Raw genomic sequence first — 16,036 nt, forward strand, 5'->3', positions numbered from 1 at the left:
GGGACCAAGAGGATGCCTAAGTGTACCGCTAAGGGGTGGATTGATGACTTGCATGATAACCCACAAGGCAAGATTGTAAGTGGAGAAAAAAAGAGACAGGCTCATGTACCTCTTCTGCTTTATTTTTTACCCAACCCTGATGCTACCCATAGCTCCCTGTTTTAATCTACCACCTAGGGCTGAGTGGAGCATGGAAAAGAAAAAAAGGAGGGGAACACATGGAAGATTCCAGAATTATCTTGATTGACATGCAGAGTTTGCTCTTTTCTTTCCTGACTGCCTCTCATGCACAGATGTCCCTCTACCAATGTGAGACAGGCAGCAAAAAAATATGGAAAAGCCAAACAGACTTGGGCCCTACTTACTGGATCTCCCCCAGGGCCACAGGGTTGCACACCACCAGGGGGCACTATTCATGCTCTGGAGCACACATACGCGTAGATTCCAACGTGAGTGGAAACTTATGGAGTTGTACAATCCTGCAACCTTGCTTCTGAGCTAGGTTTGCTTACCTATGAAATGAGGATAATAATAGCTATGTCCGGATCACCTGAAGTCAGGAGTTCGAGACCAGCCTGGCCAACATGGCGAAACCCCGTCTCTACTAAAAATACAAAAATTAGCCAGGCATGGTGGCAGGTGCCTGTAGTCCCAGCTACTCGAGAGGCTGAGGCAGGAGAATTGCTTGAACCTGGGAGGCGGAGGTTACAGTGGGCCGAGATCGTGTCACTGCACTCCAGCCTGGGGGACAAGAGCGAGACTTCGTCTCAAAATAAATAAATAAATAAATAAATAAAAAATAATAACAATAGCCATGTCTTGCAGGGCTGTTGTGAACTACTTGAAGAAGCCCAGTGCAGTAAACGGCATACAGTCAGCACTCTAAAAATGAGAGCAGTTGTTATATGCTGGGGATAGGGGTAGAAAGAAGGCAGGCTTGGGCATGCTCAAGAATCGAAGTAGCTAGGGCATCGCTACTTTGGTTTTGTCCAGCTCATTTTCCCGTGCTGAGAGATGTCGAAGATCAAAGCCTGTTAGGATGCTGGGCTCAGAGTAAGAGCTTCATGCTACTTATTGGATGAGAGGATGAACAAGAGTCTTTGGAAATCAGAGATCAAAGGGTCGTCAGAACTAGAACTAGAACTCTGATCCATTACATTTCTTTGCCTCTGGCTGGTGAGTTCAAAGCAGTCAGCTCGAGTTGATGATTGAACATCGTTTTGGGTGAAGTAACAAGGGACCATGGTTCAGTGGTTCTGTAGAAGCTTCATGGCTGAGAAACTTCAACATGCCATTATTTGAATCCTAGTTGTCTACTCTTTGAATGGCAGAAAGTCAAAGGTTTTAGATACTACCAGCAGCTATGGGTCTCATAACAATTGCCCAAGGAGAAAGAATGAACTTGGTACGAACACAGGATTATATTTTCTTTGCTAATTTCACTAGATTCTATAGTTACATTAGAGAACTGTTCCTTATTTCTGGAAGAGCCCCAATTTCCACCTTCCCCTTTTTTATGCATAGGTCTGGCAATAAATTTAACTTGGCTCTGTCTCCAGGCAATCCAGGGTTAAACTGTCTCCTAGGGCACACAATTTCAGTCCCTAGGGAAAGTATGAAAAACCTTCTCTTCTTGTTCAGAAGCTCAATTGAGTGTCTCCATTTTATTTCATAAATGAGATCTGATTTGTCTCCTAACATGTATTTTTACTTACTCAAGAGTGTGTCTAAGTTCTTTTCTTTCTCTCCTGAGCTGGTTTTGGGTTGTTTGCCTATTCATAGAAGGAAACAGTGAGGGAGAAAGCAGCTAGAACTCTGATGAATGGTTTACTTCTTGTTAGCAACCCAAGTTAAACATTTAATGATGGAAGCGGGTATGGGCTGAAATGCCATTTGGGGGTAAATGCCTGGCTTCATTTTTTCATGCTCTCTTTACCACTACTCGCCCCAGCCCCTCACACCCTGTATAATGTCTGAGCAGGTTTTCTGCATAGTTGCCAGTGCTTATTTTTACAATCTCTAACATAACAGCTTCAAATATAAACACAAACATAGCCAGCATGAACGACAGCATCTGCATTGGCCACGGAGCTAAAACAGGCTCTTAGAAATGTGCTTGACATTTCCCGTGGCAGCTTCACAGCCTCCTTGGAAAGCCTTGGTCCACCTCTCTGCTGCTGACAAGCTCTGATTTGGGTAAGATGCTGGCAGGTGCCAGCAAAGGACAATAGGCTTTTAATTAAGGTCTGTAGAGCCATAGCTCAGGAAACACACCTCCTGAAGAGTTTTTTTTTTTTTTTTTTTTTTTTTTAAAAACACTTGCGTTTCTTCTTGCTACCCTACGAACAGTAACTGTGTGCTCCATCGAGGCAACTGTGGTCGTTAATCTTCCGTAGCACAGGAATTGCTAGTAACATAAAGGTAGTAATGGGATTATGTTTTCTTTTCTTTTTTTTTTTTGCAATAGCTTAGAAAATTAATGTTAACTTCTGTTCCTAGTTTGGGGCAGTTTTTACTATGATGAAGCTGAATGTGATCATACAACTCCATCTTTCCATCCAAACTCCCTCCATGCAAATTTCTTATTATATCTGACACAGAATTAATGTAAACATTTTTGTAATGGCCATATTTTGAGTCACTCACTTAGAGGAAGGTTTTCTAATGTGGAATCTGAGCCTGTTAAGCATCGTTGCTATGGAGACTATGAGAGTTGGATTAATTAAGGCTTGAACAGATGTGAAGTGTGCAGAATGCACTATTTTCTGTTAGTAATTAAAGAGGGTATGTGTGTACGTGAGAGAGAAAGAAAAATAGAGACAATCCGAGACAAAGCAGTCAGACGTGCTTGGCACCGGACATGTGACATTTTCTTCAGTAGAACTAACTGCTGATAACTCTGCTGACACTACTCTATTTTCTCCTCCACCCATGCCAGACAGAATAATTGCTTGAAATGGCCAAGCAGTCCAACCTTTCTTTCTTTTTTGGTCTGATTTATGATAGGCCCAGGAATATACAAAAACATGTTCTTGGATCAGTGAGTTCAAACGACCCATCTCTCTGAACACTCGAAAGTCAAACTGGACTGTGTAAATGGTTTTTAAGCTGCCTGGCAGGAAGGCCAAGTTTGCAGACTGGAGCTCTATTAGTTGTCCAGCCCCCTGGTAGTATTGTCATCAGCGAATTGATAGCCAAGAGAGACACTGGCTGCGCAACTGCCAAGGAGAAATTGTCATGGGAATGCCTTTAAGACTGGAAAGTGAATGAAACATCAGTCTGGTTTGAGTTTAATTTGGAGAATATTTGTTTCAGTTTGAACTAAATCTTTTGCTTTTTAAAACACTGTATTTCTATTTTCTCTTAAGTAATATAGTAACATGAGGTTTAGGTCTGAATTCAGCAGATTAGGTTCCATTGGAATCCTGCTTAGTGGCCCCAGTGAGTGGTGTCCCCATATAGCCTCCTGGTTGGCAGGAAGTAGTTAATGGCTTAAAAATGTCTAAAGGCTTTTCTGCTGGGTTGGCAGCAGTTTTGCTTGAACTGGTAGCTTTTGAAGCATGATCATTTTTTGTTTGTCTCGCAGCTGTGGAGGTGGGGTTGTCTGAATCAAAAAGCATCACAGAGGTACTTTGTTTCCTGGTGGACTGTGTCCTGGTGGCCCAAATTTGGCCTCTTCCCACCCACAGACTATGCAGGATGAGTTAGAAAGTAATGATGCAATGGGGAATTGCGTGGCCTGGGAGGTCAAGTGTTTGTGTATGTGTGTGTGTGGTGGTGTGTGCAAGAGCACACTCTCAACTAAAGCATGTGTCTCGTCAAACTCCTACACCTCTAAGGAGTCAGGCACATCCACAGACATAAGTTTTCCCAGTCTTGCCATGTCTCTACATGTCACTAATTACAGCCTGATTCTGTGAGGGTTTCAGTCTATGAATGGGGCAGTTTAAAACAAAACAAAACAAACAAACAAACAAAAAACAACTAGGTGAAGGCTGCAGGCAGCACTCTTCCATCTTAGAAATCAGACATCTTTTGGTTGTGCTATTAAGAGCCATAGAGACAGGGAAACAGGGACAAATTGGATCAATGTGAATTTATCACTATCTGGGGAGAAAACTTAAGTCTGCATCTTCATTTCCGCATTGTCCTCTACAACTGCGACCTAAAGTTCACTCACCCTTAAACATGACTGTTAAATCTGTTGTATATTCCATGTTTCTTGTCATTTGAGGATTATGTCCATTTATCTCATCGGAGAAAGCATTTAGTGAGGCTACAGAAAGTAGTATTTGCCATTTGAATCAACTGTGATTGATTTTTACATCTCTGGGTATTAATAAGAAAAGTGACTTATTAAATATAATTCTGTTTGCCTTTTCTTTCTCCCCACCACATATAGATACAGGAGAAAGTATATTCTGGGTACTTTGTGAACTGAAAAGGAAATTGGGGTGAGAGAAAAAACAACAGCAGTGGTTCAATGCCTTTGAAGGGACATCTGTTAAATGCTTTAGGAAAAGAGCAACAATGGAAAGCTTGAAACCAATAAAACCAGAGCCAGCACAGGGAGTTAATTCAAGAAGAAAATCCACTTTCCCTCTAAATCATCAAATTTCGAGAAGTGTTTTATATTTGGCAGACATTAGTATGTATTCTCTGTGTGTGTGTGCCTTCATCCATACTTGTTTGTATACGCACACTGTTTGAAGTCACTTCAGTATACTTAAACAAACTACCATTTTCCTTCCATTTTGTCCTTCCATATGTTAGTATGAGGCCAAAAGTACCCAATTGCCCAGTTGCTATCATGCTGTAGACATGATCCACCATTTCGCTGTCTTAGTCTTTTGGCTGTTAAAACAAAATACCATAGACTGGGTAGCTTATAGAGGACAGAATTTATTGTTCATAGTTCTGGAGGCTGAGAAGCCCAAGCTAAAGGCTCTGGCAGATTCAGTGTCTGGTGAGGGCTCCTCTTCTGGTTTATAGATGGCTCCTTCTAGCTGAGTCCTTACGTGGTGGAAGAAGCAAGGCAGCTCTCTGAGGCTTCTTTTATAAGGGCACTAATCCCAGTCCCTTCTCTGTGTAGCATTTCTTCTTCCCAGGTTTGGAGCAGGACCTCTCTAGAATAAGGGTCTTCAAAGGAGAAGAGAAAAGGAAGACAGTGGCCTTTCTAGGTTTTATGGCTTGCTTTGGGAGAGAGGGACTCGAGTTTCTATGACTCACCTTTGGGGAAGAGGAATTCTGGTTTCTATGATTTGCTTGGGGAAGAAAGAGCGACAGGAGACAGGAGGGTGGGGGAAGGTCAGAAGATCTTGCTTTTGAGGCCCTTCCAGTCTCTTTCAGTTCAAAGTACTCAACACACCAAGGTGTCATACTTTGGGGTATCATGTTCTGCACTCCAAGATCACAATAACTGGGAAGAATTACTAGCATTAAGTGAACAGGAGAAGCAGGAAAGCTAAAGGTCCTGTGGTGAGTAGGACAGTCCTGTCCAAGATCAGTTGCCAAACCGCAAAAGCCCATTGAAAAACATGGATCAAATTTCAGCTTTTAGAATATTTTTCACAGTGTGAATTCAAAAGTGAGAAGTCATTTAGAAATCCTTATACATTCTGAAAAGTGGCTATTTGTAGATGCCAGTAATATGGAACATCTTGATTTTGAACCAGAGCAAGACTTTTAGGAAGAGTATCATTGAAATTCAAAGAGGAGCCTTAGTTCAAGAATTCTTAGAAAAATAATTTCCTTAACATTGCCAACCTCATTGTGATAGACAGGGCAACACAAAGCCAAAGTTAACGAGGCTCTGACATTTTTAAAGAACATATTCTAACTTTAGCTGACATTTAAATTAGAAAGCCCAGCAGTGTAGCGGGGAGCTGATTGATTTGGAAAGCATGGATCCAAGATAATGAGGGCTCTGCCATGCTCTTCCTAGTGATGGGTAATAAATGAGCTCTTCCTGGCCAAAAGCAAAGGAGATGAGGCAGTTCCTGCATTTGAACTGCAGGCATTTGCACTGCATTGAGACGAAAAGTCATTCAGATACTGCTTTTCTTCTGCTCACTATAGCAATATTTTCATATTAGCCTTCATAATGAGCAGGAAAAAGACCCTGGTAGAAAAGACCCTGGTAGGCATTTCATGTGTCAGAAACACTAATGGTTGTTTTCTTTAATTTCCCAATGTGCTTGAGACATACTAGCCTTATAGACAGCCAACAAAAATGGATTCTAGAAGTAGATTGGTCCTGCCTTGACCTGCCAAACGTGGGAGGTTTGAAAAACTCAGATCAGAAAACTAAACCACCCACCCTCCTTTGGAAATCGATCACCTGTTTTGGGAAGAGGCTGACTCTACTTTGCTGTGAGGCATGATAGAGGCAGAAGGCTGTGAGTGGGAAGAAGCCATCACTGAGAGCCAGCCTCAGGCCCTTCTCAGTTGCCATAAAACCCTTGTGCTTCAGCTTTCCTCATCCATAAAATGGTCTCATCGTAAAGTTCACCCTCTCACTGAAGATTAATGAAGTGACACTTGTAAAGGATTTTAACTCAAAGGATCAACTCCAAGTACTTTAAATTCTTTGGAATGAAATTATTCCAGGGAATATTTATCTGGAAGCCAGATTGACAGGGGCCTTCTGGAAGCCCAGTCAACATCAACACGACAAAAGAACCGTTAGTTTCGGGCCGAGCACGGTGGCTCACGCCTGTAATCCCAGCACTTTGGGAGGCCGAGGCGGGTGGATCACGAGGTCAGGAGATCGAGACCATCCTGGCTAACACAGTGAAACCCCGTCTCTACTAAAAATACAAAAAATTAGCCGGGCGTGGTGGCGGGTGCCTGTAATCCCAGCTACTGGGGAGGCTGAGGCAGGAGAATGGCGTGAACCCGGGAGGCGGAGCTTGCAGTGAGCAGAGATTGCGCCACTGCACTCCAGCATGGGCGACAGAGCGAAACTCCGTCTCAAAACAAAAAACAAACAAACAAAAAAAACCAGTTTCCTTTCAGGAAAAGTAGATGCTCATTTTATTTGTTAAAGGGAGAGAAAAGCACAAGTCTGCCCTAGAAGTCATATCAATAGGCACAAAATTTGATTGACAATGAGGTTAGTCCTCTTAATCAGGCTCCATTCATTGGTCTAAATTCACTTCAGTTCGGACTCTTGTTAAGAAGGCATTGACTCACAAAGTCGAGGGTGGAATAAGATACTGTGCCGCCATATTGTATCCCAGTACTTCCCTTGAGAGGGTATGCTACTCTTGAACTTGTAAAACAATCATTCCCTTAGAAACCTAAAATATCAACAATGGCAAAAAGGAGTGAAGCAAAACAGTCCCTTTGGTCCTTAAATGTGGTTTATATTATCCTAATCGGACATTTTCTAAACAGATCTATGTGAAATAACTCTTAGGGTATTTATCTTAATTTGCTCCTTGGAGAAATATTTAATAATCATTTTTTAGGTACTTCTTAAGTTGATTGCTATTAAACTGCTGAAAATAAACTCTCCTTTTTGATTTTTCCTCTGGGATCCATCAGGAGATTGACTTTCAGGCAGCTTAATGAAAGACAAGGGTCCATCAGCATTGTTTAAGGAACTGTAGGAACTGTGCTAATTGCCAGAGGCTCTGAGCACTGGCTGCCAGCCTTGTGTAGCCCACTGGGCACAGCCATCCCACCCTTGGCTCCAACCCTGACTGCAAAGCAAGAAAGGGCTTTAGTGGGCTGGGTAATTCTAACAACTGCCAGTGACAAGTCTGCTGATGGACTCATCTGGGCAACATCACATTACGAATTAGCATCTAGAAATGGCTGGCATAATTCCAGCGGGCAGAGCTTCATTGCTGGCCTTGCTCATGAACAGGGTTAGGGTTTATGCTGCCAATGTAGATATTTTGCCTCCAAAACGTTCAACAGGGTTTGTATTGAAGCTCCAAAGTACTCCTCCAGGAGGAGCAGTCTGAAGGTGTTCACTAAGCATGGGAGTGGTGCAGGGAGTGCATAGGGGGCAAAAGTGATTTAAGGTTAACTCATCCAGAATTCATTAGATAGGTGTTCATCCACTGGAATCTGCCAGAGAGAATCCTAGCCTCTGAAAAAGAAATTTGTCCACATCATTTTCTCTACTTCACAGAAATAGCTTAAATAGAATGCCGTAGAGCCAGGAGCCTCAACAGACCTAAAGTGAATATAGAAGGCAACACAAAGTAGTGGTTATGAGCCCAGATTCTAGAGCCTGACCGCCTGGATTTCAGGCCCAGTGCTACTACTTACTACCTGTAAGTCCTTAAGTTGGAATCTAGCCTTTCTGTGCCTCCATTTTTCATCTGTTAGCTGGGAATAATAATATTATCTTCCTCAGTTATGGGCTGAAGGTTTGTGTCCCCCTCGCCCACTCATATGTTGAAACCCTAACCCCCAGCCCCAGTGTGATGGTATTTGGAGGTAGGGCCTTTGGGAGGAAATTAAGTTAAATAAGGTTATGCGAGTGGGGCCCTCAGGATAGGATTAATGCCCTTATAAAAAAGGAGGAGACGCAGGCTGTCTCTCTGTGCTCCACGCCATGTGAGGATACAACAAGAAGTCGGCAGTCTGCAATCAGAAAGAAAGCCCTCATCACAGCCCGACTAGCCTGGCACCCTGATCTCAGATTTCCAGCCTCCAGAACTGTGAGAAAATAAATTTCTGTTGTTTATAAGCCACACAGTCTATGGTGCTTTGTTATGGCAGCCCAGACGGACTGACACCACCTCGTAAGGCTATTTTGAGGTACATGTAAAGCTCTTGGAGAATGCATAGCAAGCCCTCAGGACCCTTCCATCATTTTATCAATAGCTGTTATTTGGAGCTGACTTCCTGATACTTCATTTGAACAAAGGCATTCACCATCCCCACTACTCCCTTGATATAACTTATTTATATAAGTTCTTTTATCTGAGAAATTAAAAGTAGATTTCAGACCCTTTGTTCATTCTCACAATATCATCCAGAAGTAGATAAGCAAACAGGTATAAGCCACTTTCCCACAGTAGAAAAAGAAGGTTTTTCTAATTAATCATTGTCAAAGATAGGAAAATGATGCTGCATGTTCTTAGATCATCATTAGCTGGTTGGTTCTCTGGTCTTTCACCATCTGTCTGTCTTCGCCAGAACACCAGGAACTTCGTGACTTCCCCTGGGAACTGCTGATGGTGAATTTGCCACCCCTCCAGAAGGGATGGTAAAGGGAAGGAGGAATGAAAAGGTCCTCAAGTTGTCATCACTTGAGTGATGCATAAGTATAATGGTTTTTGTTTTTCTACTCAGGAACTTCTGCTACAGTCACCACAAAACCCAAAGAACAAAAAGGAATGGAATTTGCTGTTGTTTTGGTGAAAGCTACCTCTCAGGCAAGATGCTAATTTTAGGAGAAATGATCTGACTGTTCCAGTGTAGTACATGTAATCAAGAAGGGTGAGACACTGGCTATTAGTATAAGACACAACAAAACCAATTTGGTTTCAATCCATTTCCCTGGGCCAAGATTAATTATATTCCCTAGACTAGACTTGGAGAGAAAGGAGTCATTTCCCAGGAGTGGAGGCTTCTGGCTGTCTCTATTTGGGTATCGTAGGAATTCCTATCGGTTCTGTCTTCTGACCCAGTGGATTCTCAGTTACAATTTGTTGAACCCAGTGTGATATGTTATTGCATAAGGCAGAAAAATCCCCTGAATCTCTGCAGGTAGATTAGAGACTAAATGGGTCCAGCTCTAATTTTCTTCCCACGCTTGAACTTGTTCCCACAGATTCCACAAAGACCACTCTGAATCCATAGATTATTTCATATCAAAAGATAAAAGGATATCAGAATCTTGATTGACTCATTAATTGACCCCCAATACCTTTTCTTAAGCCAGTGATTCCAATAGAATGATCCCCTTTTGTTATAGGGTCCAAATATCTCATTCCCTTTGCCCAAAATGCAATTGCCCCGTGGCCCTTGTTAGTTCCCCACACTATGCCCATGTTCTGATGGTGTTTACTTAGCTACTTTCGCAGCTTCCATGTTACCACTGTGGTTTGTTTTTGCAGTGTGGCTTACTCTACTCTAGCTGAGCTGATAAACTCTGGTGATCTCAATGCAAAGAATGAGCCACACATGGCAACTTGGGGGCCTGGAAGACACAGAGCCAGAAAGATGAAAGAGGAGTGGGCCTTTGATTTGAGCTGAAGAAAGTTGGCATGTTAGTGCAGTTTTTTCTATGAGATGATATAACCTGTTTCCCAGTAGCGACATGCCATCTGGCTGCAGTGCGGTTGGTATCACTCAGCTTCCCACTGGGAAAAGCAGCAGGCAGACCAGGCTCAGCCAGACGCCTCCAGACATTTCAGCCTCAACTGCACCCAATGTGTGCCTTGCTGGCTCTTTGCACCAAGTTCTGAAAACCATCTGCATGTAGAAGAAATGTACTCTCTCTGCTTCTGTGTGATACTTCTGCTGAAGCCAATTTACATTCTCCTTCAGAAGAGCCATTTTATGTCCCAGAAACTTAATGAGCTTTTTTTTTTTAAAAAAAATTAAGAACAAGCTGTTTTATTTTGAATGAGAAACTCTCCTTCTGCCAAGAATTCTTTATCAACCTAAAACTCAGAAACCACAAGCAAAGTAAGAGTTGTTCCAAGACCAAGCCAAACTGCCTTCCAGATTTACCTGAAATGAAACATTTGGCCACCCAACAAAACAAGCCAATGGCAGGGTAAATCCAGGACCACCAGAATGGAGGGTAGGAGCATGTGCTTAACGTTCTCCTTCCTACATAAGGGTTGGTGTGTCTTCATACTGGAGCTGGAATTAGTGGACGGATCTAGGTTGGAATTGAGATCTGGCCAGCATGCAGGGACCACCATTCATCAGGCACTCATGATCTACCATGCACTATGCTAGCACTTCACAGGCAATATGTCTCTGCAGGTACTATTTGTATCCCAAATTTACAGATAAGCAGGCTGAGGTTCAGAGAAGTTGAGTAATTTGCTGAAGGTCATTCAGTGGTGAAGCTAGGATTCAACCAATGACTGGTAGACTCCAAAGCCCATGCATGGTTTTAAGCATATGCTCCACTGTACTTAGAGGCAGATAAAACAACTATGATGGGCCTTGTACTACAGAATACCAAATGTGTTATGTATGTCAAAGATTACCTGCTAAGGGAGAATTCAGAGTGTTTTACTGTCAAATTCAGTTCTAAGATGTTTATTATTCCTGCAAATCCAGGATAACAATACCTAGTATTTATTGAGCATTTACCAGGTATAAGACATTATACCAAGCACTGTAAAATACATTAATTCATCTAATCACCAATGAATGGTAGGTATTATTATTATTATTATTATTATTTTTGAGACGGAGTCTCGCTCTGTTGCCCAGGCTGGAGTGCAGTGGCGCGATCTCGGCTCACTGCAAGCTCCACCTCCTGGGTTCATGCCATTCTCCTGCCTCAGCCTCCCAAGTAGCTGGGACTACAGGTGCCCGCCACCACGCCCAGCTAATTTTTTGTATTTTTTAGAGATGGGGTTTCACTGTGTTAGCCAGGATGGTCTAGATCTCCTGACCTCGTGATCCACCCACCTCGGCCTCCCAAAGTGCTGGGATTACAGGCGTAAGCCACCGTACCTGGCCAATGGTGGGTATTATTTTCTTCATGTTACAGGAAAGAAAACCGAGGCTTGGAGAAGTGATGTAACCTGTCCAAGGTCAGGTAAAATTAGGTTGAACCATGTGAAATTGCCATTTTGTAGATCAAAACCAATCAAGTTAATCAATAGTACCTAGCAATATTGGAAGTTGAGTCAAGGTCTGACCCCTAACTAGCAAAGGAATAGTCTTTAGAGTGCAAAATTGGATTCAAGTGTCCTGAATGTTGATTGGAAAACAATGCCCCAGATCAGAGAGGAATGACAGACTGTCAGAAGCCATTCATGGTGGCTTTACAGCATGTGGACTGTCACATGCTTCTAGAATGAACAGACGTGGAAGATGGTGGGAATGCTGTCTCAGCGGTAGATGCTAGACTCAGCCCTTGGAGAATGCACCACACACCCCTTCTCCTGTCTTCTTGTTGCTTTGCACATGACCCCTACTTCCCTTTAGCTCCTGTTCCCTTCAGGACTCCCTGATTCCTGCCCTTGGATTCACCTCACACTCATGCATCTCCTGTCCTGACTTGTTTGGACGGAGCTCTTCCTTTGGATAGGCCCCCAGCATTCTGTTGCTCCGTGTGACTCATCTCCTCTTCTGGTTCCCACCTCTCACATCACTCTGGGTCTACGTACTTTTGCTCTTGATTTAACCTTCTGGGGCTTCTGGCTCCTGCTCCCAGGCTCAGCCCTGCCTGGGCCCAGCCCTTGATGTTCCCTCAGTTCCCAGTTTTCCACACCAGCCACTCTTCTGTGCTAGGCTCCAGCTGATCTGACTTCCCTCCCTTTCCCCCAATCAACTGTGTGGGCTGGGACACAACAAGCTTTGAAGGTTTTGGTGATAAGTTTGGAGGAGGTGGGAAACTTAGCTAGTTCTGTTTGGTTCCCACAAGTAGGGAGGAGTCTTCAGAGAGTGGGCAACTCTGGCAAAGGCCATGAGAAGCTGATGGCTATTTATGATTTCAGGAGAAGGATAGCTGTGATAAAAGGGTCTGATAGTAAATGGGAAGGGAGAGAGAAAAAAGGCAGGGATTAAGTGTTGTTGGCTACCCAAGTATGCAAATCACCTAACAGCTTAGTTCTGTCAACCTAAATAACAGGGAGTGGCTCTCTAATAGAAAAAGATATTTATTTGGGAATAGAGCAGTTTCATGGGAATATGTGTGGTACAGCAAATGACATGCATATTCAGGCAGGTAAAGGAAGACAAAGGTTTTTAAAGGAAAAAAATAAGGAGGGTTGCGCAATTGTTTTAAAATAATTATCTTTGGCTGCAAAGATCAATAACAAGGGTGACACCAGTCTGAGGCTGGACGGGCAGTTGATGAGCAGATGTCCTTGCAGAAGTATTTTTTTTTGTGTGTGTAAGGTTGTGATGGCTGTTGGTCAAGGCTGTGGTTTGTGCAGTCTTTTTGTGATAATTTTTGTTATCAGGCATAAAAGCATGAGAACCCTCTTTTCATGACCTTCCCCAGCTCTATTTGTCAGTGTTTTTTTCCCTTCTCACATTAGTGACTCCATTTTGATTTTGATAACTTTCACAGTTCCCAGAGGAAACTATCAACCAGGCAAAAGAAACAAGCATGTTATGTACCTAAAGACAGAGATGAAAGAAAGAGGAAGCTGATGCCCACGGTTCAACTAAAAAGGAAAATGTATTAGGTGTTCCTCTTTCCCTAAGCAAAAGAGGTGACTGGGGATGGAACAGATGGGATGCAGAAAGAGAGATCAACTGTTTTGTCACCTCTTTCCTTATGGCACATTTTTCCTCCTGGCCAGCCAAAGAATTTGGCTTCATCTGCATGGGCCACCTAATTAAAAAGATGGACATTTTAAAGAAGATTTGGTAATGGGAACTCAAGGGAAGGTGATGCTGAAGGATTTTAATTGCAAGAAACCAATCAACTTTATGGGAAAATAAAAATGATTACGATAGACACATTTGAGATGATTGGCAGGTGGATAAGAAGAAACCACTAATTGGTGTTTTAACCTACCTAGGACTTATTTAAGACCTGGCAGCTCTCGGACTAGGCAATTGATCTTATGTATGTTTAAAGGCAACTGCAATGAGGAAAGTCCTTTCCCTAGAGTTCAATCATTCTTTCCCTCTCTAAGGTATAACTACATGGATGGGTTGTAGTCACACTACTTGGGCATGGCAGTGAAAGCAGACTTAGGGTATAATGAGACACTAGACATTTTGATTGGGAGGTATAGGGGGCCAGAGGGCAGCAAAGACAGGAATCTGAGTGTGGCCTTGCAAGTCTCAGAGAGTTGGAGCCCTTTCACTCCTAAACTGAAACCCTTTTTGGACGGGACCACTTCCTCCAACCAGGACTTAGAGGGTTTTCTTGAGCCCGACACCATGGAAGAGGTTGTAGGGGTGACGTGGTTACTTTGATGGGTGTAAGAATGTCCATTAGTGAATGGGTTTTGGAGTCAGATGCCTGGATTCAAATCCCAATTCTACCACTTTGTATCACTTAAGCAAGTCTCTTTAGCTACTTTTTTGTTTCCTTAACAATAAAAATAGGAAGGTCATAGCTACCTCATAGGATTAGGTAAGAGCATGTGTGTATGTAAAATGCTTGGCATAGGGCTTCATTTATACAAAATACTGAAAAAATAAGTGATGTAATAATGATGATGATGAAAATGATGATAATGATGCTAATTCTGAGTTTGAGAGTCAGAGTTGACAGGGAAAAAAGGTGCTTCAGTTTTCAACTTCAGAAATTGTCTTACTTTTTTTTTTTTTTTTTTTTTTTTTTTTTTGAGATGGAGTCTTGTTCTGTCACCCAGGCTGGAGTGCGGTGGTGCGATCTCAGCTCACTGCAACCTCTGCCTCAGCCTCCGGAGTAGCTGGGATTACAGGCGTGCACCACCACGCCTGGCTAATTTTTGTATTTTTAGTAGAGATGGGGTTTCACCACCTTGGCCAGGCTGGTCTTGAACTCCTGACCTCGTGATCCACCCGCCTCAGCCTCCCAAAGTGCTGGGATTACAGGCGTGAGCCACCATGCACGGCCGATTTCTTTTTTATGTTTAACTTTGCTCTCCAGATGCTTTCCGAAAACCTTAGTTTTCCTGCAGACATTGGACCTGAGTGTGGACTCATACATGCGAACAAGATGTTCATTTCCTCTTTTTTTCATACTGCCTCCAGCCTCCAGAGAAGTGTTCTTTCCCTTGCTATCTGTCCCACTTCCGGTGCAGGTGGTCCTGCCTGACCTAACCACAAACACCTGAGAGAAGACACATGCTAAAGGCCAAACCCTTTTTCCATTTGACTTGGAGGAGAAAGCACCCTCTCTATCAAAGTGACATGAGAAGAATTGACTGCAGAGTAGCTCTGTATTACTTCCGGCTGGGGTATCAAGCACCACATAATGCATACCCTTATAGATGACAGGGTTATTGAACAGAAGAGTAATTTAGAAGGGCCTGATTTTGAGACTGCTACTTGATACTTCTTTAATGGAAAATAATTAGTGTCCATTTACTGGAAGTGATGTACCTCGGTACTGTGGTTCAATTGGACCACACTGATTAAAACATGCTTGAGTGTTCCATATGCTTGTGGTTAATGAGCAATATGTTTTGGTTGTTCTGTTTTCTGTCTTGTAATGTCCAGCCTTGCCTCTGTTGCATGTGAGAGGAAGGGGGTTTGGAGTGCTTTGGAGGCAGTTCATTTTGAAATCAAATTGACTCACAGAGTTAGTGTGGGTCAGTAAATATCCTTGAGCATGTTTATTTCATTTTGTGTTCAGGTATGGCAATATTTACAGTTTGACTCAAATGGATTATAATTAAAAAGAATGGTTATCTCTCTGAACACTGATTGTTTCCTCATGTTTTTACAAATTGAACATATACACATAACTTTACGAGATACAATACAGTCACACCTCTCCAGCATTATTGGGGAATTAAGCCATGCATGATAAGAATATTCCAGATAACTGAAACTTATTCCCTTTGAGTAAATATGTATTTATTTTAGTCATTTAAATGAAAATCTTTTTTGAAATGTGTAACATAGTTCTCTGACATCCTGAACAACAATTTTCAACACAAGTTAGCCTTTTTTTTGATAAGTCAGAGCGAGCGTTAAACCGTCATCCTTATACCGGTCCAGGTTTGGCCAACGTGTTACCAAGGTTTTGTCGCTAGATGGCTCTGGGTAGTGAGGCCTTTGGAATTCTTGGTTCTGATTTTTAGAATATTTTTTCTATCCTTCATTGCTGTCATTCTGTTGGTGTAACTTCTTGCTGCTATCAGTAGGCCTACTTCTACGATTTCTCCTTAAACTAGTCATTTCTACTCAACTTTGAATGAAGAGA

At 42.6% G+C, this 16,036-nt stretch overlaps 1 long non-coding RNA gene across 1 annotated transcript in view; it reads left to right on the forward strand.

Moving 5' to 3' along the window:
• The first annotated feature begins 796 nt into the window (after positions 1-796).
• LOC105379034 (uncharacterized) overlaps positions 797-16,036 on the forward strand; it is a 36,735-nt gene continuing 21,495 nt past the window's right edge. Inside the window, exon 1 of the long non-coding RNA XR_001742745.1 lies at positions 797-2,196. This is a non-coding gene — a long non-coding RNA (uncharacterized LOC105379034). The remainder of the gene's footprint in view (positions 2,197-16,036) is intronic.

The sequence above is a fragment of the Homo sapiens genome, chromosome 5 (assembly GCF_000001405.40).
Source record: "Homo sapiens chromosome 5, GRCh38.p14 Primary Assembly".
Lineage (NCBI taxonomy): Eukaryota > Metazoa > Chordata > Mammalia > Primates > Hominidae > Homo > Homo sapiens.